The following is a 26,890-nucleotide window of genomic DNA, read 5'->3' as shown; positions in this document are numbered from 1 at the left end:
CCCAGAAACATGCTAGCTCTGAGTAGCAGCCCTCAAATACCTTCTGATATGAATTGAAATCCAGTGGAGGGCTTATTCAAGTTCTAAGAATGAGCCGCTATGGAGCACACACATAAACCTCACAATGGTGGGTGGGACACACCTGATACACTTCTTAGGACAGAAAGGACTATGGCTGACAGTGAAAGTGGAAAAGAAACAGTGGGAGGAATGAGAGGCAAGAAGCAGCGGGTAGCACTTTTCTCGGTATCAAAGAGACGTGAAACTAGGGTAAGGACAGAAAACTCACTCCTGGCATTCCTCAGCCAATCCTTGCTTTCCTCTTCTATTTCTTAGTATAGAATTGCTAGTGAGGATACGAGTTAATGGCTAAGGAAGATACTTTGCATTGGTCCAGAAGAGCAGATTATAAAAACTCAGATTTGGAAGAAAATTTCTTAGAGGTTTTCTGGTTTGATCTCCTTAAGCTTCCAGAAATTCCTGACTGTTGATCATCCAACTTTGATTTGAATGCTTCCAATTATGGAATCCACTCAATTGCTGTGGAGTCTCTAAGTGCTAAGCTGCCATTATATTGAACTAAATATTGGTATCACACACCTTTTAGTTCTGCTTCTGCCCTTTGAAGCAACCAAGAACATATCTTCAACCTCTTGAAAAGCTGAAGAGGGGCCATACATTGTACAAGAAAGAGAGCTGCGTTAGAAGTTATGACACTTTGGTTTTGCAACTGACTAGTTCATGTCCTGCTCCCTCAATTTATTTATTTATTTATTTTCGAGATGGAGTCTTGCTCTTGTCGCCCAGGCTGGAGTGCAAGGGTGCAATCTCAGCTCACTGCAACCTCCTCTTCCTGGATTCAAGTGATTCTCCTGCCTCAGCCTCCTGAGTAGCTGGGATTACAGGTGCCCGCCACCACGCCTGGCTAATTTTTGTATTTTTAGTAGAGACAGGGTTTCACCATGTTGACCAGGCTGGTCTCGAACTCCTGACCTCAGGTGATCCATCCCCCTCAGCCTCCCAAAGTGCTGGGATTACAGGCATGAACCATCGCACCTGGCCTCCTCATTTTATTTAACTTGTTGCTGCAGTAATCACATACTCAATATTTTGTTAATATTCCTTTTGAGAGTCTGCACTAAGAGTGGAATATAATTGCGTAGCTATAGGTTGAGGCCAGGATTTTTTTTTTTTTTTGAGATATAATACAAAGGATACTGGACATAAAATGGTTAGACCAGAAGTTATAAACCCATGTCGTTAAAGGCAGGTAGGTAACGGAGAGGTCGAAAGGAATGGGGAATTGGTGGTTTGGGTTCCTGGAAAGACAATAGGGACTGGTTGAAATCTGCAATTTAAAAGACATAATCTATCTGAAGGCATTTGTGGTAGCCTGACTCTAACATGGTCCCCAGTGGCCCTCATCTCCTGGTATTACCCCCCTGTATAGTCCCTGCCTACACTGTACAGGGTTGGTCTTTGTGACCACTTACACATGAAAGAAGCGATGGCATAACACTTCTGAGCTTATGTCATAAAAGACTGCAGCTTCTCTCTGCGTACTCTCTCAGCTCTCTCTGGGGGAAGCCAGCTGCATGTCATATGGACATTCAGGCAACCTAGGGTGTGAATAATGTGGCAAGGAAATAAAAGGCCTGCTAGCAAATGCTCAGTTGAGCTTGGTAATGGGTCCTCTCCCAGCATCTCCAGCCAAGAGCTTGACTGCAACCTCATATGAGATTTTGAGCCATAACCATTCAGCTAAACTGCTTCTGGATACCTGACCATAGAAACTGTGAGATTATAAGTATGTGTTATTTCAAACCACTAAATTGAGGGTAATTTGCTATGTAACAATAGATAACTAATACAGCATTCAGATTCATTTTAAAGTATCAATGTGGACATGCACACACACTTTGCTGATGAAACAAAATATAGGGCTCCAGTTTATAACCCTGGGTTTCTCAATGAAACCTGGATCTACAGAAGCCAAAAGGTATGGTTAAGGCAGCACTCGAAGGTCATTTGGCAGCTCAGTTTCTGCTGGAAGGGAGGAGATGAAATCCATTCAGAGCTCAAGCAGGAAGCTATTTTATCCACCAACAGAAACAGAATATAATTTTCCTTATCACTGTAGAGTAACAACAAACCATGGGACAGAACCTAGAGAAATCTGACAGAAATCCTGTTCTATAATACAAAGAGCACTTGGATTAGAGTAGAAAGCCAGGTGGAACTTCAGTCTTATCAAAATAGAAAAGCATTTCCCCGTCACTAAAAACTAAGAACAAGCATTTCACAAAAAGTAATGGAAGAAGCAACCTGTTATGGTCTGAATGTTTGTGTCCCCCCAGAATTTATATGTTAAATCCCTAACCCTCAAAGTGATAGTATTAAGAGGTGGGGGCTCTGGGAGATGGTTAGGCTATGAGGGCAGAGCCCTAATAAATGGGATTAGTGCCCTCATAAAGAGACCCAAGAGGAACCTCGCCCTTTCCATCACGTGGAAGTGGGCCCTCTCCAGACACAGAATCTTCCAGCACCATGATCTTGGACTTCCAGCTTCCAGAACTGTGAGAAGTAAATATTTGTTGTTTATAGGCTGCCTAGTTTATGGTATGTTTTTTATAGCAGTCCAAACAAACTAAGACACAACTCTTCTCAGAAATCCAAGAAATAACGTAGTCACTTGGGGTCTGAAACCAGAGATTGAGAGGTCACTCTCCACCCAATAGGAGAAGCAGATCTTAGGGGGACAAGAGTACATATGAAACACAGCAGAGGAGTAGGATATGTCTTTGAATGAAGATGCCTGAGGGACTGAATAAAGAACCTGGACAACTAAAGAAAAAAGACACCTATGGATCAGAATTGAGACAATTTCTTCAGGTAATGGTTTTTACCAATAAGTTAAGGAAGTACTGAAAGTGCGTTTTAGAATCCTACTGAATACCCTTTGTAGGGTTTTGCATAGAATTACTCCAACAATTACGCTGAATATAGAGTTAAATATGAAGAATAAATTTCTAGAGTTTAGATCCAGTCATTCTCAATAAATCCTTTTGTTCTTAACATTAAAGAAAACCCTCAGATTTTGTTACAAATAGAGGATGACAGGAATGGGTGCCCTACTCAGTCAGAATCCCAGGCCAGAAATCTGCACAAACAGGTTAAGTGGAAGCCCTAATAGGATACTGCTTTAACAAGAATTATTTCTGTCAACACAATGCAGAGTCATTATCAGGCAATTTCAGAAAGTGCCAGGAAGCATCATGTGGAAAATTATAATCAAGGCCTGGCTGAAGTTGGGCCATCATTATGGAAAGTCAGGAAAAATGCTATGTGCAGCGTGGTGCTTGGCATTTTGTGGAAACACCAAAAATGTCAACTGGGGAGACTGAGAAAAACATGAGGGAGGAAGATGCCATTGGAAAATAAGCATAAAAGAGGATTAGTGTAAGATGAAAGCTCGTGTGCATAAATTAGTCAAATAGAAAATACTGATAGTCTGTGATTTATACTGCTTGGAAGAAAATAGGCCATTATGGATACAAGAGACTGTTAGTTCAGGATAGTTGTCAAAACCATTGCATTAAAATGCTGCCTTTTTGTCACTGTTTTCAGTGATCTTGATATTTTCAAACAAGGGTTGTGGTAGACTGGTGGGCCTAGAACCTAGGTAGAAGTTAAGAGAAGAGAGGAAGGGGATGAACTATCTTTAAGAAGACTTGAGGGTTCTGGCACCCCACATGGTGTATTTCTACTTTTTTGCTATTTTTAGGTGAGACTGGGTTAGTTATTAACTTCAGAAGGAAGAAGGAGTCACCAAGAGAAACAGCTTGAGGAGCGAGGTGTCAGGAAGCTGCTGAGGAGGTGGAGAGGAAGGGAACTGTACCAGTTTTCCCTTAGTGGTGGTGGTGATAGAACATTTATGGGCTGACTGTATGTGAGGAAGGATTATATGATTGAAATACTAATTTATTTATTTTTGCTAGTTGTTCCTTTACCCACTTTGCCTTTCATTTGAAATTCAAGGAGACAGTCTAGTCTATGCTTGTTGTTTCATGGAAATGATGTGATGAGAGAAAAGTGAAAAAAATTATAAATCTGGCTTTTATGTTTTTAAAAGCCCGGACATTTAGAGGAACAGAAATGACATATAGACAGAATATTTGAGAGAAAGCACCATGTTTAAGGACATGCTGACTCCTTACCCTCACCCCAAAGTGGAAGAGGTTTCTTGGCTATATCAAATATTATACTATGGAAAGTTGCTTTCCCCAAATGCAATCCCCAAACCTAAATCCTTAAATTTATCCAGCTACTTCCCCCCACACTTGATCATGTGCTTTAGGGGAGTCTGGCCGAGATCCAGCTGCTGGGTCCTGACTGGTGACAGCCAATGATGGCGGTCCCATCCTCCATGCTGGTGATTGTTTTAGGCATGAGGATTCTGCAAAATAAGATGTGAATGGACAGTTCTCCTCACTTTTAAGAAGAGATACAAACATAAGATGGCCTCTTTCTGCCTCTGAAAGTGTTGCATCTATAGAAGATATTGCAACTGCTGTAGCCATTTTGCTTCCAGCCTGAGGAGGAGGCAGGCAGACAGATGGAAAAAGTCAAAAGAAGACTCAGAGAATCAGAGAAATGAAGCCAGAGCCCTGAGGCTCTGTGGAGAGCTGTCTTATCTCTGAGCCTCTTTCTATGTGGTATTATAAATTGCATTATAGTTTAAGGTAGTTGAATCTGCTTCTTTTGTGACCTGCTGCTAAATGCATCCTAATTGGTACACTGGCTGAGAGGAGAAAGGAACATGAAGGGTAGTGAAGAGAGAGGAATTACCATCAGTGCCTGGAACAAAGGCACTAGCCTTGAGGGACCCCCACAATCGGAAGATATTCTGCATCTTCATCTCACCCAGATCCCACCCTGGTGAACCCTAAACATCTCCTGAACCCAGGCTGTGCCAGTTTTTCCCATAAACACCTGATGAGGATGTACCTTCCATGGCAGCTAACATGAGCACTGAGGATTGCTCAGCAGGAATGGTAATTTCTCCTTAAGCAGAAACAATGTTAGACTTGTTAAAACATGCATGGTTATACATGTATGTGAGACAGATTTTCAGATCTATTGCCACTTCTGGAACGAACATGCTAATTACTACAGAACGTTGGGTTTAGCTAATATCAAGCACTGTAAGGTGGAGCTCCCTAAAGCTACGTCCTTCTCCTTCACTGTCCAGGTTATTGTACTCTTTGATTGCAATTCTGTAAGGCACTCCCAAATGCAGTGGGGTTCAGTAAGTGTAGGACTCCTTCGTAGCAAACTAGTCACCAGAAATCCGAAGATTTTCTCCTAGCTCTACCTTAGTATCATTCTTGTGGATTTTGGCTGCTTGCTCCATTTCTCGCTTGCAATCTGCCACCTTCCACTTGCTTGTCTGTTGGCAACACCTGTGCATCTTCTGACACTATCTTTTGCATCTTGAAACAGGCCTCAGATGACCCTACCATTGGCCTCCCTCCAGGGAAAATAGACACAGACCAGTATGGCTGTTATCCTGAGTCTCTTCCCAGATACTTGATCAAAACAGAGAACGGTCATTGAAAGGCCATTTCCCCAATTTGCCTAATCTTCTAGCTCTGGCTGCCTTGAGATGATGTAGTTGAGAGGTTTGGCAGCTGAGGCTGGGAGAAAGATGGGATAGTGGCATGGTCATGGTCAAGTGGCTTATATGGGAAGGGGAATCTGACCGATTGAAGTTGGAAGAGCAGCGGCAAGAAGAGGGTGGTGGGGGTTGGGGGAGGGGAAGAAATGAAAGATTCTTAAAGGGAAATTGATATAATATCTAGGAGAACATCTTAGAATACGTTTGTAGGAGGACCGTGAAATTCAATTGCCTGCATGTGCATGGTGGCTCCTTTACTTATACCTGCTAGACCTTGGGCAAGTTACTTAGATTCAACTCTTAGTTTCCTCATCCATAAAATGGGGATAATACCTCAGCTACTCCATAGGGGTATTGACAGAATTAAATAAAATAATAGAGGTAAAGAATTTAGAACAACACATGCCAATGGGAAGAATTCAATACATGTTCGTTTTATCATTATTATTACTCATATACTTGACAAAAATATTTCTATATTACCTAATTTCTAAAATTATGTGAAGAGGGTTACATACTGTCAATGAATAGAGTATTTCTATCTTTTATTATAGAATTTATCAGTTAAAAATATGATTCATATCATAGCAGTCAAAATAAATTTGGTATGATAACACCACATCAGTCCTTTAGAGTTTACTTTCTTTCGTTTGTCATTTGTGGCTTCAGCATCTGCCTGCTACTTTCTACTTTTCTGGTACACACAAGTATGGAATATTGAGAGACAACTGCGTCCTTTTTAAGTGTAACATATTAATCTTATTAAAAATTATAGCAAGAGAAAAATGCCATGGATATTTAATAACCTTCTTAAAGAGTCATTAAATTATGAAAACACTACTGTCTGTAGTAAAGAGTATCAGATTTGTCAGGAATTATTAAAATTTACAGATTAACCCTGAATATTTTTTTTTTCTCTATTATACTATCTTTCAATTGCAAGTCTATTATTTTCCAAATATAACTTTTTGTTATTAACTTAAAGGTTGATCTGAGTTTCCATTATTCTTTCTTTTATTTGTCTATTCTCCTGAGCATGTTAATGGGCAATGGAATGCTGAAAATATGTGAGGAGAGCAGAGGAGAAGAAAACAGCCCCAGAAGTGAATGGGCAAATAGACCTGGAATAATTGAAAACTGGCTATAAGTGTTATATATTATTTTCTATGGTAGTAAGTAGATGATTTTAGAAATACTTAAAACCTAAAGAGGTACTATAAGTAAAGATGTATAACTGAAGTCTACATTTATTTGACAGCTACTTAATTTTTTTTCTTGTAAAAAAAGAACTTCCAGTTTCCCAAGACGCAACATTGAATTCAATCAGAGGTAAAGATTCTGGACTATTGGATTAAATGAGGAGGCAGGAGCTACTATCTCTTGCAGGTGGGTAGCCAACAAAGTAATTTCAACAGAACAGCAATTGGTCCTCTGGTCACTTGGGAAACTCAGAATTAATTGAATGGGCATCAACAAGGGAGAAGCAATTCTTTTGTAAACAAACAAAACTGTACTCGTATGAAATGACCTAGAAAATAGATGACAGGAGACCTCTCCAATTTGTGATTTGGTAGAGAATAGGACTTCTGTTTCTGTACCTCTGAGACATCTTTGCAGATACTGAAAATATTGTGATAGATAGTGGTGACTCTAGATACTGTGAAAAATTCTTTTCCTCTGGCCAAACAGTACAAGTAGAATTTGTTTTCCAAATTAAAAATCCAGATTCTATGAATTTTTTATTTAAATATGCTCAGCCAACAGTAAGGACCTTACACTACAAAGTTGAATGCTTTTTGAAGCACATGTTAGAAGAATATGGATCCATTGCAATATGTAATGTATGATTTCTAATGCAGTGTGAAACCAGGGCCGGGGATGAAGATATGGACACATCTCAGCTTTCCAGGGATGCTGTGATGTGGGTGAGCATGAGCTTTGTCTATGGGCTGAATTGCATCCCTCCAAAATTCATATGTTATGGTCCTAACCCCTAGTACCTCCGAATGCGACTGTTTGGAGATAGGGTCTTTAGAGATGTTATTAAATTAAAATGAGGTTATTAGAGTGGCTCCTAATCCAATATGATTGGTATCCTTATAAGTAGAGGAAATTTGCACATGGCTGGGTACAGAGAAAAGTCTATGTAAAGACTCAGGGAGAAGACCATCTAAAGCCAAGAAGAAAGCCTTCAGAAGGAACCAACCCTGCTGACACCTTAAACTTGGCCTTCTAGCCTCTAGACTGTGAGAAAATAAATTTTTGTTGTTTAAGGCATCTAGTACTTTGTTATAGCAGCTTGAGCAAACTAATACAAGTTCCATTTGTAGTAGAAGCTATTAAACATCATTACATAGTCTATGTCTGCACTCAACAAAGACTGGTTCCCACCATTAAGACAAGCTGCTCCTTCTACCACTTGGGAGGAAATCAGCTTAAGGAAAGGTGTTAGGTGAGTAACAGTCAGGGCAAGGGCCCCTAGAGTAGGGGCAGGGGAGAGGGCAGTGTGTGAAAGGAAGGGCTAATTTTTTTTCTTGAAGGGCTAGTTTTTTTTTTCTTTTTTTCCCCCTAACATTTTGTTTTTCTAAACTGAGGGCTTTTTTTTTTTTAAAAAAGAAAATCCTTTATTGCCTTCTTATTACAAGAGCTTTACCTGTTCATTGTAGAAATATTAGGAAATACAGATTAAAAAATGAAGAAACAAAATATAACTGTGATCTCACCACTCAAAGGTAACTGTTCACACATTCTTGTAAATCTTTCCAGACTTGTTCCTATAGATACATGAATTTATATAATATATATAAATGGAATGATTTTTTTGTTATCATCTTTCTGTGTCAATAATTTTTAATTTAGAGCATCATTTCTAATGCCTGACATTGTTTCATTGTATCTATTATATCCTAGAAATAGAATTGGTAGGTGGGATGTGTCTAGGCTTAGACATATGTAAAGACTTTTAATATATTTTGCCAAATTGCCCTCCAGAAAGGATGTACCCATTTATATTCAGCAAGCCTATTTTGAGTGCAACATAAAGCCCTGTCACTGGTAACTCTTGACTCAGCTGCTCAAGGGCTTTCAGCCAAAATCCTAGGAGGAGAGTGAGGAAACTAGAGGACACTGAAAAGCTGTGCCACAAGTGACTCAGATCCTGCAAGTGGCTCGATGGAGGAGTGTCCCGTGTTGGTGGCGGAGGTTTTTCCTTCCTTAGCACAGGACAGGCTGCGGGGAAGCATGGCAGGATCAGCCGTCTTGCGCCCATATGGGACCTGCAAGCTCCGCCAGGAGGAGCCACGTCAGTGCAGCCACTAGGGGTCGCCCTGAAGAGCATGGCACCCACAGGGGTGTGGAGTGAGGCGTGAAGAGGTGACTTGTGTTGCTCACTTGAGCGTGGAAGAGATATCCCTGAGGACCTTTGAGTAAGCTGAGAGGGACCCGTGGACTGCGGTTCCAGGGACTTCACTGCAGGGATCCTCAGATCATTGTGATTATGACCCCTGGTTGTTAATTTTATTCCTCGAGCTTTGAGGGCCTGGGAAAATACACGTTATTTAGGAAAAGGGAACAGAAGGACTGATAGCCTTTGTAGTTTTTATGCATTAATGGGAAATGCTATTTGATTTTGGTTCCTTGCCCAGTATAAGAGATCCCAGGGGGCCTAGTTAAAAGGAAAGCCAAGCTTATCTTAAATGAAAAATAAAATATTTTATTTTATAAACATGAAAATTATGTGGCACTCAATAAAATGTGTTGGCAAGTGAATGTCTGCTACATAATATGATAAATAAAATAGGTTAATTCCTCTTGGGAGAAGAACTTGAATTTTACTTATCATTGGAAGACTTCGAAATAACTTTCAACAGGAACCTCTCTAAGGAAGATAAGCAGTGGTCTCTGATTTGCTGGTAGATGGAGTGTGTGAGAGAGGGAAAGAGCACCTTCATTGTTGACCAGAAATGATCATCCTCCTTACTGTGTTTCAAGATATTCACAGAGCAAGCACCTGGTTGTCCCTGGGTCTTGGACCTTTGCTGGTCAGACGTCACAAATACATCAGAATGACAGTCCCATTGATCTTAATGTGGCCCTTGTCTGAGAAATAAATTTGTAGATACAAGTGAAGAATTAACAACATTTTGTCAGCTTCTTTGGAATGTAAATTTAGCTGCCAAAGTGGTTTCCAAAAGTAAACTTATGTTCTGTACATTTGCCCAAGGCAATGAATAAACTTCCAATAAAACAAACAAACAATTCTTTCTCTGGGGTTGTTTTCTTCTTTCTTCAAGTGGCACTATGGAGAATTAATTACTTCATAATCTCACTCACTATAGCCTATCCAATTAAAAATGGTTATGGAAAAACAGGGCTTACCATCTATCACTGGTTTTGGCTGAGAACTTTTGAGGCGCAGCGAGGGCCGGAAGCGGGTTCGGTCGTTGAAGCTCCAGCTCTTCTGCACTTTGGTGGGACTGCCCTCGGCTGTGATGTCGGTGCTTGGGGACCTCCTGTCACCTACTGAGGCTTGTCGGCTCTTAATACTCTGGCCCCTGGGGCTAGCCATGCGCACTCGCTCCTTAAAACTTAGCTTCTGACTGTGGAGAACAGAGGCATGATTATTCCATTTCAAGCAATTTCTTCCACTTTGCTTGGGTAAGTAATTTGATGAAGCTCATGTGGTCATATATTTCAATAGACAAGATGTTTTCAGCACGTAGGAGCATAGCAATTATTTTTCCCTTATTTAAAATTTGAGCTTTATCTAATCTCTATATTTGCATTCGAGATCAATCTCATTCTACAGGTACATACATCCTTCTTGGATTCATTGTAGAAAAGACTGAGGTCATACAGCATTTTGTACACAATTACACTGTAGATAACTAAGAACTGTTTTGGAATTCACTTGAAAAACAGTTGGGTAATTTTAGCTTTAACCTCAACTTTTGAGATTTAAAAAATTATTTTTTGTTTGGGAGCATATCTCTTTGTAATTTCTAGACATTTCTACAGGTAAACAGGGATGACAGTTACATATATACCTACATTTGGCATGCATTTTATATTCCAGGCAAGATTATGTTATCCATAAATTCATGCAATCTCATAGCAGTTGGTAGCACCACATACATAATATTAAACACACAACACTTAACATTAGATTTCTTTTATGCTTACATTCATTCTTGTGAGATGAAAACCACACAAGATAGAACAGCCCCAACAGATAATGAATGTGATGACTGATGAAGAGAATGAGATGTTATGTTCACTAACACAATTTCCTGCTAGTAAACAGGTTATTGATTTGCTGTGGCAGCTACTGGTAAATTATATTTGTTCAGGCATTCAGTTCTCTGATGCCGGCTAAGATCAAATTGTTGTGGGCTGATAAAAGAAGCATTAACAACAATCATAAAATCCAAAGTGCATCTTCACACTTTCCTAATCAAGAGATATGCTATGATGTGCTAGGAAGGGCAGGTTGGGATCAGACACACGGGGGCTAGGGTTCTCATCTCTAACTTGGAGATAAACATAGCAACACAGCTAAGGGATTCTTGTGGGAATCAAATGAACTGTAAGAAGCTTTGTGTACCCATTCTGTTTTTTTTTCTTGTTTCCTTTATAGTGAAATTATGCCATTCATTAGAAGGTGATACTGTCATCAATGTGAGAGGCCCAGGACTCTGCAGGGCCTGAAGAAATCCTGGGCAATGAGTCTGAGGGAAGTCTCTCAGAGCAGCTACTCTGAGAGAGTAAAGCCGCAGCCTTTGTGGGGTATGAAAGCAGCGTTCTCATGGATAAGGCTTATTTGAGACGAAGTGGAGGCCTTGTTTTGTCCACTTACCGCAATGTCCACTGTCCCCAACTGCAGCATGCCAACAGCAAATGTGTTTAGTGGATATGTGCTTTGTAGCTAACAAGAAACAGTAACATTTATTTTTCCATGCCTAGTTGCTTAACAAACGATATTCTAAAAGGGCACCACGTTTTATGTGTGTTTACATGAAAACAAATCAAATCATGAACTGGTGGTCAGGGAGTTCTGGAAACAATAAACAAGTTGACCATGCAACTGACAGCTCCCCTCTGAAATGCAGACACAGCTAAGTCCAGCATGACTCGCTGAAGGCACATGCAAAGAACAGGCGGGGCAGTTTGGTGATGAGGTCAGGTGGGTTCAAGAGTTCTTTACAACAATCCCAACAGTGGAAGAGTTTATCTGTGCTTGACACATGTGTGATTAAATGATAGATTACATTAAACAAGAGCAACAATAACATCATAAACCTGCATCTTTTAATTCTCAGGCTAGGTTTTCCATGTCATCCCAAAGCCTTCAATTATTTAAACAAATCTGTCAAAGGGATGGTGCCCAAAAATATCTACTTTTCTCAAGCTTTTTTTTTTTTTAAATTGTAAAAGTTTCAAATCTCTTTTTAGTTTCAACACATCTGTTCCATAATTTAAATTTACAATGATCTAGTTCAGGAAGCATATGCTCACTTCTGCACCTTTATTCAGATTAATGAATAGCTCAAGTTGACATAGATATCATTACAATTGGTCCTCACTATATTTGATTTTATCTATTACCTTTTCTGGAACTAACAGATGCTAATTACTATAAAAGGTTGGTTTTAGTTAATATCAAATTATTTTCTCCAACTTTCAAGATATATCTCTTTTCTATGTCAACTAAATACATAAGAAATGGATAAACCATCATAAAAACACTTAATATGAAAAATTAAAAAAATTCAATTACTAAAAAAGTAAAAACATCCAAAATGAAAGTATTAGCATTCAATCCACCATAGTTTGTTTATAATAAAAGTATTTTAAAAATCATACCTATAAAAATATTTTTAAAAATTGCCTCTATGAACCATTTTGACATTACCTTATGAATAAATTGGAAAATGTGAATAATATTCTCTAAATCTTAGTATCATTTAAAGCACTTAAAGTTGACAAAAATAAATTCTAAGTAACATTTCCCTTTTGTCCTTCTCAACTACATGGATATTTGCTAATGTCTATTATTTTAAAGATTCCCAAGAATTATTTTAAAATAAACTCGGCATATTACATGTTAAATTAGAAAAAATGTAATGTTTTCACTTTCTCTTTTGACATAATTATATGAAAGTTAAGAATAAGATTCTAATCAAGAACTTTTTAACCAGGCAAAATTTTCTTTTCCAAGGCAAAGATCTGTTCTTGTGTCCTCTTACAAAAAGCTCACTTTATTATTTTTCTACTTTGTTTCCCTTTGAAAATCAACACAGCGTCTTGATTAGATGACTATTAAGCTGATCAGGTGACTGTTACTGAAAACACACATTGAATTGATTAAAAATATAGACTCTTCACTGAAACACTGAAGTCTTCATTATTTTCCTGCCTTTTTTTTGGTGACATCTACGAATATGATTTTTGAAGATTTATGTAACAGTATTTTTAGGAAGAATGCCAAGGATTATCCCCAAGAGACCAACAAGGAGGTCTTGCTTTGCAGAAAGTAAAAAAAAAATTGCTGTGGTCATTGATCGGAGCATCTCTCTTAGGGTACAGTCCCACAGTTACAGCTGAGGACCATGCTCAGCAGAGCCTGCACTGTCACCCTGCAAGAGAGAATTCTCTCATCTCTAGGAACCAGATGTACAGGTTATTCAAATGGCCTAGCATGCAGTCTACTACCGGCTGTTCTCTGCCAGGCAACTGTGTGGCATCATCATAACCCCACAGTAATCCTCTGGGACTTAGAATGCTGTAGTTATTGTTATACTTAATTAGGGTTTTAGCCCTTCATGGGATAAGCATTCTACAAATTCTCGCCTCAGGCACAATATGGCAACTGAGCCATAACAATCCAGTGCGTGCAGCAGCTCAGCAGTTGTCCAACCACAAGGAGGCGCCAAAGGGCTGACTGCCAGTTCTACGCGGGACGCCGACTATTTGTCCCAGCGGTGGAGAGTATCAAAGCAGGCAACAGGCAACAAGGAAAATTTCAAGCGGGTTGAAAACCTCATTCAAGAAGTCCCTAGAAAGAGTGAGTCTCTGAACAGGGCTCAGGTGGGGTGGCGGTGTAACCTGGTCATGCACCTGAGGTTAGTTGGCATTCTCAAATCTCATGTCAATAGCCCGGATGCTGGGTACCTCTGCTTCCGTGAGGTGTACATTCTGAAGAGCTTCTGCTTATTACTACAGAACTTACTAGGAGTGAGGGAAATAGAGCAGCACATTACTAAGCATTTCACGAATAGGAAAGTGCTCAGGGATTCTTTTATAAAAACAAAGCCATTTGGCTTTATTGTTTTTAATATAGAAGTACACAGACTATTTAAGCAGAGAGTACTATGTTGTTTAATTGTGCTGCTTGAAAGATATCCAGTGATCTTAACGGCTAGGTTGAAAAATTGGATTTGAACTAGGCATTACATACAAATGATGATAGTCTCTGTGTTAGCATGTAAGAATAAATACTTTAGAATATAGCTACCCCTGTAATAAATATCAATAACACATAGTATAAATGATTAATAACGTACTTTAGAACTTCAAAGAATAACTACAGAAATCAATAAATTCATGACATTAATTGTTGAAATTTGAAAACGTAAGTTCTTGGTTTGTGTGAAACATCTGCATTTATAGTTGATATAGGTAACCAATTGTCAGAATATATGTTCAACAAAACAGAAGAAAAGATTCTAGATTGCTGGTTTGTAAGAAACGAAAGAAAAGTACGTTTCTTATTTTAAGTCCTATGATGTGTTGTTAGAAGACTAAATCCGTTTCCTCTATCAATAAATGTGAACAGAAGGAGAGACCATTTTGGAAAGATTGTTTTTGAAACAATGGAACATTTTGCCAATAAGGACACAAGTTGACTATGTTGGAAAAAAACCAAAATCTAGTCTTATTGAGTTTAGTTTAACAACACATGCAGATCATTCATTGCACACAGAAGAAAGAAAATTGAAATAACAGAAAATAAATGCAGAAAAAATATAAGAGCACACAGTCTTCCACCAGGGTTCTAGAGTTCTCTCCAAGAGCCACACACAGCTTCAGAACTCCCCCTTCCCCCAAAAGCCAACCACACAGGAGTGGTTCAGAAAAAGCACTCGGTGGCTCACAGCACAAGAGTGTAATGTAATATAAAAATATCATTTTTGCCTTAACGTTTAAGACATGCATCTTTACAACAGTCTCACAGGTACCTGGTAAAGCAACTTTAGTCTACTCAGAAATCTGAAAGGGTTCTAGCAAAGCTTTTAAAATTGCCATTAAGGAAGCTTAAGTATCAAGCAGGCATATAGCCAACCATTGTTGATTAAGAAGACAGAGTAACTAGAGGCAGCAAGATGTATAGATAATCTCAAAACCTCAGATAATATAATCTGTTTTTGTAGCAATAAAACTTAGGTAGATAGAAGGAAAAGCCTTCTTGTATCAATGTGATGACTGACTACTATTTGATAATCTGGTCAAGGAGGAAGGGAGAACCACATAAAACCTCAAGGTGAGAATATTGGCTTATTCTGGACAGATGGATTCACAGGTAAATTCAGTTCTCTGAAAATGACAATTTATATCAAAACAGAAAAAAACTTGTCCCATTTTAAAAATGACTTTTCCAACTAATTTTTTAATAGAATGAAATCAATAAACACATTTACCACCACATATATGAGATTAGTACTGTTTTAGTGGGAATTCAGAGGAAAAGAAATGAGTGATTAAATGATGCTAAAGAAGTATTTTATGATTGGAGTAGAGGAAAAAACAGCAGGCTCAGTTGAGACTAACAGTAATTTGTACCTGAATGTACCAAAAAGAACTGATGAAACAGTATTTTCACTATTGCTCAGTTGAGCTATATTTAAAAAGCTCTTCTTCAGATTAATGGCTTGTATTTTATTTTATTTTTTATTTTTTGAGATGGAGTCTTGCTCTGTCATCCAGGCTGGAGTGCAGTGGTGTGATCTCAGCTCACTGCAACCTCTGCTTCCCAGGTTCAAGTGATTCTCCTGCCTCAGCTTCCCAGGTAGCTGGGACTACAGGCATGCAGCACCACGCCCAACTAATTTTTGTATTTTTAAAATAGAGGGGGTTTCACAATATGTTGGCCAGGCTGGTCTCGAACTCCTGACCTCAGGTGATCCACTCTCTTTGGCCTCCCAAAGTGCTGGGATTATAGGCATGAGGCACTGCACTTGGCCATTGTATTTTTAAAGAAAAGTTTTGGATCTGTCATAAATAATGTGACATTTTTCCTTAGCCCAAGACATCGTAGGCAAATTTTGTTTAAACATACCCTAGCCTCAGTGTAGAAAGACAAAATCCCTTTTTAACAAGAACATTCCAAAGCCGGGAATGTAGTTAACTAAGGGTTCTATAAATGTGTTCGACATCTTAATCAATGTTGCAGAAAGAAAAGCCTCTCTGTGTATGACCCACTCTACAGTCATGGCTCCGTCCTTTGGTGAGAGTGCCAGGCACCCAGAGGCGGATGTTGGCTGCTGTGTTGAGTTCATCTACACTTGGGTTTCTCTCAGTTTGTAACACAAAGAAAAACCATGAAGAAGGACTTAGGAGATTCCAAGCTCTGGGCTAAAAGGTGAAAATGTTGGCTCCTGCTTGGGCTGAAGCTTGTCTCCTCTGCCTTTCTGACTCACCATCAATAACTCAGTGGTCCCAAAGGCAGTAAATTACTCTGCAGTTGGGTGGTGTTAATTAGTTCCTTTGAAATGGGGTCAAGCATTAATTAACAATACTCTGGACCCAGATCTACTCTTCTGTAAGGAAGAACTCTCATTATAAATGCATTTTACTTTGTGATATTTTGCTTGGGTAAGGACAACTTTGTTACTTTCTAAGATGGTACTGTTGCTATTGTTATTACAATAGCCTTTCTGCATTCATTATGCAGGATTATAAATTCTGTGTATGGAGCACAACAAGGTGAAAGCTTACATAATATTAAATGGGAGCTTCAGCTTACTTTCCTTAGATTATTGCAATGTTTTTAATTTTTTATTTCTCTTTTTATATTTCTCCTCTCTTCCCATTTTTTGTTGGTGTTTTATCTCTTCCCACAAACTACTTGAGGTCAGGGCCATTTTATTACTCTATCCAAGAATTATTTATTGAGCACATTCTGTAATAGCTTTACCCAGGGTGATGTGACAGCTAGTTGGAAGATAGGACACCTAAGTGTATGAAATATAAGATATTAAATAATGAATCTAGGCTAAGTAATAGTGCAGGACTTATTTCAAGGTGGTTTTTGCCAAATGTTCAATGACCACAGAGAAGCAAGAAATTTCCATGTGTGATTCTCTAAGTCATCAACCCACTTCAGTGGTTTTGTACATATTTAAACCTATGGGTGAGTTATCTTTGACAACCTCAGTCTGCTGCATGCAGAGAGGTAAATGTCGTAGATATATGCGAACATCATAAATGTGGAAAATTTGGTTGGTAGTTTTTTTGAATAGTGATAACTGAATAGGAAGCTTGTTTTTGGACTAGTGAGCAGAAGCTCAACAGTGACACTTTAATTTTGTCTTTGTTTTCTGCTGTGCTAACATTTAAAAACAGTACAATATCATTGTGCCAGCCCAAGGTGACCCCTCCTTCAGGATTGCCATAGAGTTTACACTTATTCAAGCACCTCCATGTCATTTACAAACTTCTCTTTTAGGTGTTAACAGCTCCGTTTTGGAGGATGAATCTAAGATGGGTGATCGCACTCTCAGGTAGCTCTGGAATTTGTGCCAAAGATGGTCTCTGTCCTTTGGATTTGGAGGCAGATCACCCTTTGAGATAATTAGTAAATGGAAAGCTCCTGAGACAATGAAAGCTTTTAAAATATCACCAAAGCAACTATAAGCTACCTTAAAATGGCTATGATTTATTTTGTGTAACTTTTTTCAAGTAAAATTGTCACAACAGAAGGATGGTGAGCTCTGTATGGAATCTAGAAAATGGACTAAAAGTCTAGAATTGGTCAGCTTGTCTCTTCCAGTGTCTAGGCAAAGACTATTCCGAATCTAATGACTAGAACCTCTCTTTGGTCAAAAACGTTTCTTAGGTGGGGAAGAATGACTTTTTTCTGGAAATATCTCCAAGGAATATCCAAAGCCCTTGGCTTATTTGGTAGTTAGAGCTACCAAATAAGAGAAAGAACTTTAATGCCATCCCTTGGGTAGGTTACCTACGCAGAAGATGTGCCTGATGTTGTATATCCTATCGTGCCTATCTCCCATCATAGACGAATGCATTTATGTTTTCATTTGTTTATCTTTACATATAAACATAATGCAAAAATGGATAATCCAGAGCCTTAATACACCAAGTGAACTTTCAAAACTGGCTTCAGTATTGCATAAATATATTATTATTAATATAATTATTATAATAGTACTAAGCTAAAAGAACAATCCCTGGGCCCACACTGGCCTCCACTTAGGGACCAACTCTGGGTAGGTGGATGCCTTCATTTCTTTATGGAAACACAGTGACAATGATAGGAAAAAAAATGTATCTCTTCTTCCTTTCCAGGCACCTGGGATTCTCCTTGCTGGTTCTGCCTCTGCCACTCTTCACATCATTAATACTGGGTTCCACCTGGCTCTGTTTTTCAGGGCTTTGCTCTCAAATCTAGGCACTTCCTGGTACTCATTAACACAGATCAAGAAATTTTTCTTTCACCTCGTATTCCCTCTAGGTTTAATTCTCTGCTGTAATCTGACGACTCATTCCATCTAAGTCATGGGAAACTGATAATAAATTATTTGGGGAATTTTTGGGAGGGTTGTCTTCTTCCTAAAAGATGGGGATGGGGCTCTTTGAGTCACTTGAGTAGACCTCAGCACTCAGTGGGCTGGAGATCTGGAGATGTCACAGAGAGGTGGTTTCATCTTGCCAAAAAAAAAGATTATATGTATAGGTATATATACCTATACATATAATGTATGTATGTGTATATGTATATGATATATATATGTGTGTGTGTGTATATATATATATATATATATATATATATATATATATATATATATCACTCCAAAAGAAGGACCCTAGTGAAGGGGAGTGTATCCTAGACTGCTGCCTGGACTTTTTACATTCAGAAAAAAAATTTCTTTCTTTCATTCTCTAGATTACCATATTTGAATACTTTGATAAGACTTCTGTCTGGGAAAACAACAGCAAGGACTAATCCAAGATCAGTTCCCCTCCTCCCCCACCTCCAAATGTTCCATGCCCTGCAGATTTTGAAAAAGCAGGGAGTGAGTTAGGGAAAGACACTTTGATACTAAGGGGCGAAATATCAATAAAATAGCAATCTTTGCAGGCAATCTTGTGAAAGGTCACTTTTAATCATCTTGTATTTGTTGATCGATTTTACTCACATGAGACACATTTAAAACACCTGGTAGGTATCAGATTTATAAACAAACATGTAGCAAGAGAGAAATCACAAACCTGCTTGATGCTTCCCCTTGTTCTTTCCTTCAGGTGCGTGCAGGCAGAAGAGAAATGATGATAAACCAGTGAATATATTTATAGCACTTGATAATGGCCAAATTGGAGATTGGGGAATCAAATACCTTAAGTAACTCTTTTCATGCAAGATCCACAAAAGCAGTGTTCTTTATAATAAATGTACTCAACTTGCTAACATATATTCTTTGTGATACAGACCAGAGATAGCACAACATTTACTTGGCAAAGCCAAGACTGCCCACATAGAATAAAAAACAATAGACTTTTCATTAGCCAAAGCTATCCATGGCTAAGAAAAAGTGGTTCTGATCTAACCAGAATTAGCAAGGGCTCTTAGAATGTTGCTAGTTACAACATAACTGTTCTCTGTGCATCTGGCAGACTTTGGTTTCTAAACCTGGATTCATTAATGAATTGTATCTCAGTCACTTGCTGAGGCAGATTTTTTTTTGTATCGTATAAAATCTAAATTTCCTTGGAGTAAATAAGGTACATAGAATATTTACCAAAACTCTTTTAGCCTATACTGTTGGGTGGCATTTGTAATAACTCATTTTAGCAAATGTAGGTCTAAGCACCATGGTGTAGGGTCTGTACTCTTTGCAAACGAGCTGTGTGCCTTTGGGCAGGCACCTTATTTGCTTGCAGGTTTTGGTTTTCTTATGAGTAAATCAAAGGCTTTAGGTTAGATAATCTCCAAATCCCCACTTCTTAAGGTACCACAAGGTGTTTTTGGAGCTTGATAATTCCCCATAGCCTCATAAAATTTCTGACTCATTCCCTAAATAGCATATTTACCTGTGTTTTGCCCTTTGCAGCTTCACTCTCTTTGAGGAGAAAATCAAGAAAAGTACTTGCTTCTATACATCCTTCTGTTATTAAAATAAAACTTTGAAATAGAATTGCTAAGACCTCTAGAGTGTATGTAAGAGACAAACCAGACCTGAAAAGAGAGAGTAAGGAACTGCTGGTTGTATCCCTGGCAGGTTTGAGTGTCCCTCCTCCCATTTCTCTCTGCCCTGCACAGCTGTTTCTTAGACCTCTCTTTCATCCTGTTTAGTGGAATCAAAGCATCCCACTATGTCTTTAAAACTGGGGAACAAGAGCATGGGGCTGGTGTTTTTTAATGATAACAGTAACATTGATGATGATGATGATGATATTGTTGATAAATTGATCTTCCCCCTGGCCACCTATTTGAAATTATAGCCTCTGATGCTCCCTAAATTCCTTCTTTATTTTACTTTTCTCCTTAGCACTTAATGCCATCTAACATATCCTATATTTATTTATTTATATTGTCTATCCCAACATCCCTTGAATACATACTTCCCAAGGCCAGAGATTCTAACTTTTTTTTTTTTTTTACTCCAACTGCTTCATTCTCAGTGCCTAGAACTATGCCTTGCACATCATAGGTGCTCAATGAGTAATTGTTGAATGCATACATGACTGAATAAATGATCTTTCCCATCAGAAGTTCTTAGGCTGAATGCTAAAGGAAAATACACAATGTAAATAAAATAGTAATTGTAGTCTGTTTCTTACTACAACACTCTCCATTCGGTAAGCCACTTAAATGTAAAAAGATCCCTCTAAGTCACTGAAAATTATTGTCACTTGATTAAAGCAAGTTTGCTTTGTAAAACAAAAGTTTGAACTTGGCTTCAGGGACTCTGTGAATACATTAAAATTGTAGGCAAAGTATTGATTTTCTCGTGCATTGATTATCTTTCTTGGGAAAGACCCCATAATTTCCATCACATTCTCAATGGTTTAACAAAAAACATCAACAAGGATTAAGAACCTCTGCATTTTGAAGCAATGAAGCATCACTGGAAGGGGAGAGATGTTAGGACATCTAGTTTCCCATGAACTTTACCAGTGACTGCTGTGTCATTCTGGACAAATAACTGTTCTTCATTCAATGGAGCTGAGCCCCATGGTTCATGAGTTTGCAGGAAAAGGAAAGTGAGGGAAAGGCACAGTAGGACATGAGGAACACAGGTGTTTGCATAAATCCTCCTCCACCTCCACCCCCACTTAAGACAGGGAAAATATCAGAGGAGTAGAAAGAACTTATGTGAATAAAATAATAGTTGATTTACTGGGGGAATTTGACTCATTATTAAACAGTTTTTCCAGGCTTTTAATGACTTTTAATCCAAAAACTGCAGTAAGTGGGAAGCCAAATAATCACATATGATAATAGACCACTCTCCTCTGTCACTTGAGAATTCTCTATCAGTTTTCCTACTCAGATTCCCTTTTTACATTTACCTAGCAAACTTCATGAAGACAAGAAATACAATTTCTATATAATTTTTATTTTTGGTTCATACTCCCAAGGAATAAATGGCACAGGAGTTAGGTTCTATTTTCGGTTTTTTAATATCAAAATGTTGAAAGGGTCTTAAACTCCATAAAAAGTTCAACTAAACTTCAAGATCTAAATGAAAAGAGGATTTTAATCCAAACATGCATTCAACAGCATCCATGCTTCTATCCATGCTAAGGTTCCATCCTCTCTGAAATCCCTGGAGTGCTATGAATATCTCTGTCCTAGGTGCTGACAAGAATTTTAGATACCACCCACCAGGAGGCATTTCCCATTAGAGCTTAGGAATCATCTTGCCCAACTCTTGTCCTTCTCTTTGTGGGTGGGAAAACTGAGGCCAAGGGCAGAACAGGGAAGTAATGTAGTTAATGATGGATCTGGTGCTTCCCAATGGTATGCATTCTGCTGCATCACAAACCTCCATTAAGACGGTACTGCCAGGGAATGTCATGGAGGTTTCCTCAGCTGATATCTCCCAAGATCAGTAAGAACAGGTGGTTTTTTGTGAGTCACAGTAGTTAGGTGTCCTGAATCCCATGAAGCCACTAGGATTAAGGTTTTGTTGGGCTATGAAGAAAAGCAGCTGGTGCTCTCAAATGTCGGATGAGCAATTTAATAACTTTTGAACAACCTGAGGAACTGACTACGCTAATCAAGCTGGGTGACTCACAGAAAGCCTTTCTCATGACTTACTGCTTCGGTATTTCAATGAGGACTTCTTTAATTAGGTGGTGAATATGATTTAACATTTTCTGTGATAGTTGAACTGGAGTCCAGGTTTCCAAGACTCCAAGACTAAGCCCTTTTTTTTTTTTTTAATTACAGATCTCTGTGGTAATCATTAGGACTGTCCATAATGTCCTTGGTTCTTGCCTGCTTCTAGGCACATGGTAAAAGGTAAAATTGTACTTCCCCATTTTCTTTGAGTTTAGGCATGGCTGAGTGATTTACTTTGGCCAATGAAATGTGAAGAAAAGTAGTCTTACTTTAAAATTGTGAATGCAAATTCCAAATTTTAATCCGCTGGGTCCCATTGCCTCATTGTAAACTATAATCCTATTAGGACTCCTATTTTTCTCTTTTTTTGCCACTGATGTGAGTTTGATCTGCAAGTAAAAGCTTGAGGACCATCCAGAGAGGATCCAGATGAGAAATGGCTTTGAGAGATCTAAACGTACAAAGATGGATTACTCTCTAAGCACTCATCTCTTGGGGTCAGGCGATGGGTGCAAAATAAATAATCCTTGTTTTTCAAGAACTGTGGTGCTTACCTTTAGGATGCTGGTGGGCTTTACGAAATGAGACATTAGAAAGTAAGCATGAAATAGTAAAAATAAATCTCTATAAAATTTACATTATTTTAATCTTTAACCCCAGTCTGTGGATTGTGAGGAATGATACTGATTCCATTTAGTTTTGTGCCAGAACTGCTACTAAATAGGTTTGAATCTCTTTAGGAGCAACAGAGAATAAGAGAAGCCAAACATTAACACCTTTTTTTGTGTGTGTGGGTATGGTTTGTTTAACAGACTTGAAAAGACTCAACTACAGTGGCAGCTGTCACACTGATACCTACTTGGTAGGGCTGCAGGTGTGCAAGGCCTTCAAGTGTGGCTTCCAGGTTGCAATGGAAACAGATTTCTCATCAGCTGCGTAACTACGCCAAACACACTGCATGTGGCATAGATGGGGACATGAAAAAGAAAAAAGAGAGCAGGATTTAGAATAAAATAAAAAGAGAAATGATTAAGTTACTACACATGAAGAATCTTTTGCCTCTTATACTTAGCCCTGATAAATACCCAAAGGAGGAAGAAGGCTACTTTGGCATTTTCAGCTGGCTGTTAAACATATTGCACCACATCAGAACTTCTTTTATTTTATTTTATTTTATTATTTATTTATTTTGAGATGGACTCTCACTCTGTTGCCCAGGCTGGAGTGCAGTGGTGCGATCTCAGCTCATTGCAATCTCTGCCTTCTGGGTTCAAGTGATTCTTGTGCCTCAGCCTCTAGAGTAGCTGGGACTACAGGTGCCCACCACCATGCCTGGCTATTTTTTTTTTTTTTGTACTTTTAGTAGAGATGGAGTTTCACCATGCTGGCCAGGCTGGTCTCAAATTCCTGACCTCAAGTGATCCGCCTGCCTTGGCCTCCCAAAGTGCTGGGATTACAGGTATGAACCACTGTGCCTGGCCAGAGCTTCTTTTCAAAACAACATACCAAGAAGCAAAAGGCCCAAAAAGTGCAATATAATGTAATTTTTGAATTGGTAAGGGAAAGATACTATATTATCCAAAACAAAAAGTAATGATTGACTGGTTAAATGCTAATATCCAAGATAGTAGTTAGGTGAGCGACTTGAGCATGAGCATACATTCTAGAGATTGATCTTTAATCAATATTTGATAAGGGAGAAGCAAAGGACTAATGAAAATCCATTATGCAACTAGTAAGCTAACTAGTTAACTAATGAACACCAGGGTATGCTAGTGATTGAATTAATGAAATCCTTGAACTATGTAATACTTCTAATGCTAAAAATGAAGATAGTGATATCAAGAAGCAGAACTAAAACAGGATGGGGAAAATGTACTCTCTAGGTGTATAGCTGCAAAACACCTACGGATTTATGCCATGATCTAAGAATATGTTTATAGCTCTTTGATGTAAAACATCAACTCTCTCCATTTCATATAATTACACCTGGCATACATAAGACAAAGTATTTTTATGTGATCCTCACCATCAAAGTGTGAATTAAGATTCCTGTTTTGTAGGTGAGAAAAAAAGGGCTCAGATAAATGAAGAGGTTTATACAAAGTTGGTGGAGTTGAGACAATATCTCAGATTGCCTGGCTGTCAGTCATAGAATCCCTCCACGGAGACTTGCTGACTGCTTGAAGACTGTTATTGGAAAAGCTTCCATCTGAACTGCTCATTTGAGAGATTGCCCGACCTTACTTTCCCATATAGATTTTGGTAAATTTCTTTCTTTTTAATGAGTCTGCAAACATCTCTAATGGCCAGGTATTTACTCCAGTCCCCTCAGAGAAAACTTTTTTATTATAGTAGATTAATCAAAACATTTTATTTTATGTGACAAACCTATTTATTTATTATTTATTTATTTGAGACAGGGTCTCCCTCTGTCCCCCAGGCTGGAGTGCAGTGGCACAATCTTGGCTGTCTGCCACCTCTGCCTTCTGGGTTCAAGCGATGCTCGTGCCTCAGCCTCCTGAGTAGCTGGGACTACAGGCACGCACCACCACATCCAGCTAATTTTTGTATTTTTAGTAGAGACAGGGTTTCACTATGTTGGCCAGGCTGATCTTGAACTCCTCACCTCAGGTGATCTGCCACCTCGGCCTCCCAAAGTGCTGGGATTACAGGCATGAGCCACCATGCCTGGCAGACCAATTCATTTAAATGGGCCACATCCCTAGTACATAACACATCAGTCATGATTGTGAAATCCATAATGAAGAAAATGTGATCTAACAATATTCCTTTTCCTGAGAATATCATTGAATAAATGTATGCTAAATAAAAGTTAAAAATTCACACAACTACTTGGGAAAACTGGAAGTTTCTATGAAAGCTGAACATTTAAGTATCCTATGATACAACTACACACTCCTAGGTATATTTTCAAAATATATGCTTATATATGTTCATTAAAAGATATGTACTATATGTTGGTTTCTAATAAACTAAAGCTGGAAATTCCAAAATACCCAGAAACAGTAGAATAAACAGAAAATTTGTGACACCATTTACATAGTACAATACTATATGGCAATAGTACATATAGCTACACACAACAACATGGATGAACTTCATGTGAATAACGTTGAGTGAGAAAAAGAAGACACCAAGGAGTACATTTCCATAACGTACAAAAACCAGGGAAAACTATTCTACGCTGTTAGAAGGTAGCACAGTGGTTATCCTTATGGGATAGTGATTGCGAAGGGGTACACAGGAGGTCCTGCTCTGTTTATCTGAGTGCTGGTTATGCAGGTGTGCTCAGTTCTCCTAAGATATGTGCTCTTTTCTGCATGCACATTGTACTTCAATGAAATTTCAGAAAGTGACATAAAAAAACTAGAAAAATATAGTGGTAGAAACTGAGGGACTTTTTATATTTTTGAGGAAGGTTTAAATGATTGAACCAAAGTTCCTTGCCTTCATTACATGGCTCATGCTGATTTAATCTACAAATCTGTGGAAATTTGTGCTAAGTATCTTGACATCTTATATAATGCAACTATTGTTGCATCATCTTGAAATGTTAATCTTTGCAAATATTATACCTGCACAATTTATAGAGTGATTTAGAATAATTAAGGAAAACACATGGATTTAGGATTGCAGCTTCTTCTGTAGTAGTGATGCCCAGAGATCCTCTAATGTTGTGATGACACAGACGGCTGCCTTAATTAAACAATTTCCATAGAAGATGTCACACATATATGATTTTTGATACATTGAAAGCAAGACTCCTGTAGAACTAGAAGCATATGGCAGGTCTGCACATTATTAGATACCAGTGAAAAAATCCAAAACAACAGAACAACAAAAGAATGGGACCAAGGCATTGCCTGTGAATGTTATAAAGAACTGGGGGCAAAAGAGGCCACTCTGAGAAAATTAAAGATTTTCTTTACAATGAGACCTGATGTCTTGCTATTTTTCTCTCAAATTGATCCCAACAGCTAAGCTCTTGTTCCCTTCATTACTCATCTCCCAAAAATGCCTTTTAAATGAGAGGTATGGAAGGTGCAGGTGGCATCTGTCACATGGCTGATATTAGTTAACAGTAAAAATGAAGGTGGAAAGTGGAACTCTATGCCCGTTACACTCTAATAACTTTATTTTGTTCTTAGGTCTCTCTTAGCAAATTGTTTCTAGTAGCTGAACTTTGAACCCACATCCCTGTGATCCAGTAGCTGATGTTCCTATATTTAAAGCCAAAATCACACAGTAGTTGGCAAGAGAAAAATAACACTTAGAGGGATTTCCTATGGTTAATTTACATGGTGTATACAATTCAAAGGACAAATCAACAAGAAGCAAAATGAGAGCCAACTTTGCCATTTATCAGGTGATGCTGGTGCTCTAGGCAGTCAAAGAGATTTGGACTTTGCTCAATAAGTACAAGGCCAGTATAATTCAGTTTTTTTGGGAGTATTTTGTTTGTCTTGCAAGTATTACCATTATGGCATGTTTGATCCTTACTGGAAATGGTTTAGAAGGTTTCAGCTGACCATCCAAAGGAATAATGAACACAGAGCTTATTTTTTCAAGGTACAGAGTTTAAAATGTGAAAGTCCTGAAAGTTTTAG

General features: G+C 38.4%; 1 protein-coding gene and 1 long non-coding RNA gene across 10 annotated transcripts in view; one reads left to right on the top strand and one right to left on the bottom strand.

Moving 5' to 3' along the window:
* The window catches only part of KCNQ5 (potassium voltage-gated channel subfamily Q member 5), a 576,790-nt gene that overhangs the window by 55,158 nt on the left and 494,742 nt on the right, over window positions 1-26,890 (bottom strand). For 2 of the 9 annotated variants that reach the window (NM_001160130.2, XM_047419077.1), the window contains 2 exons: window positions 23,119-23,213; window positions 10,055-10,275 (listed from right to left, as the gene is read on the bottom strand). In NM_001160130.2, coding sequence (NP_001153602.1) covers window positions 10,055-10,275; window positions 23,119-23,213 — 316 coding nt within the window. Of the gene's footprint in view, window positions 1-9,368; window positions 9,776-10,054; window positions 10,276-11,461; window positions 11,553-13,846; window positions 13,904-19,183; window positions 19,211-23,118; window positions 23,214-26,890 lie in introns of those variants that run through there. The other 7 variants (NM_001160133.2, NM_019842.4, NM_001160132.2 and 4 more) reach the window with 7 other exon arrangements.
* Window positions 182-8,893, top strand: KCNQ5-AS1 (KCNQ5 antisense RNA 1). The gene is made up of 5 exons (NR_046621.1): window positions 182-270; window positions 6,936-7,063; window positions 7,537-8,129; window positions 8,344-8,409; window positions 8,669-8,893. It is a non-coding gene; the product is annotated as a KCNQ5 antisense RNA 1 (long non-coding RNA).

Source organism: Homo sapiens, chromosome 6, assembly GCF_000001405.40.
Source record: "Homo sapiens chromosome 6, GRCh38.p14 Primary Assembly".
NCBI classification, from domain to species: Eukaryota; Metazoa; Chordata; class Mammalia; order Primates; family Hominidae; genus Homo; species Homo sapiens.
This window is presented reverse-complemented; position numbering and strand designations above follow the sequence as displayed.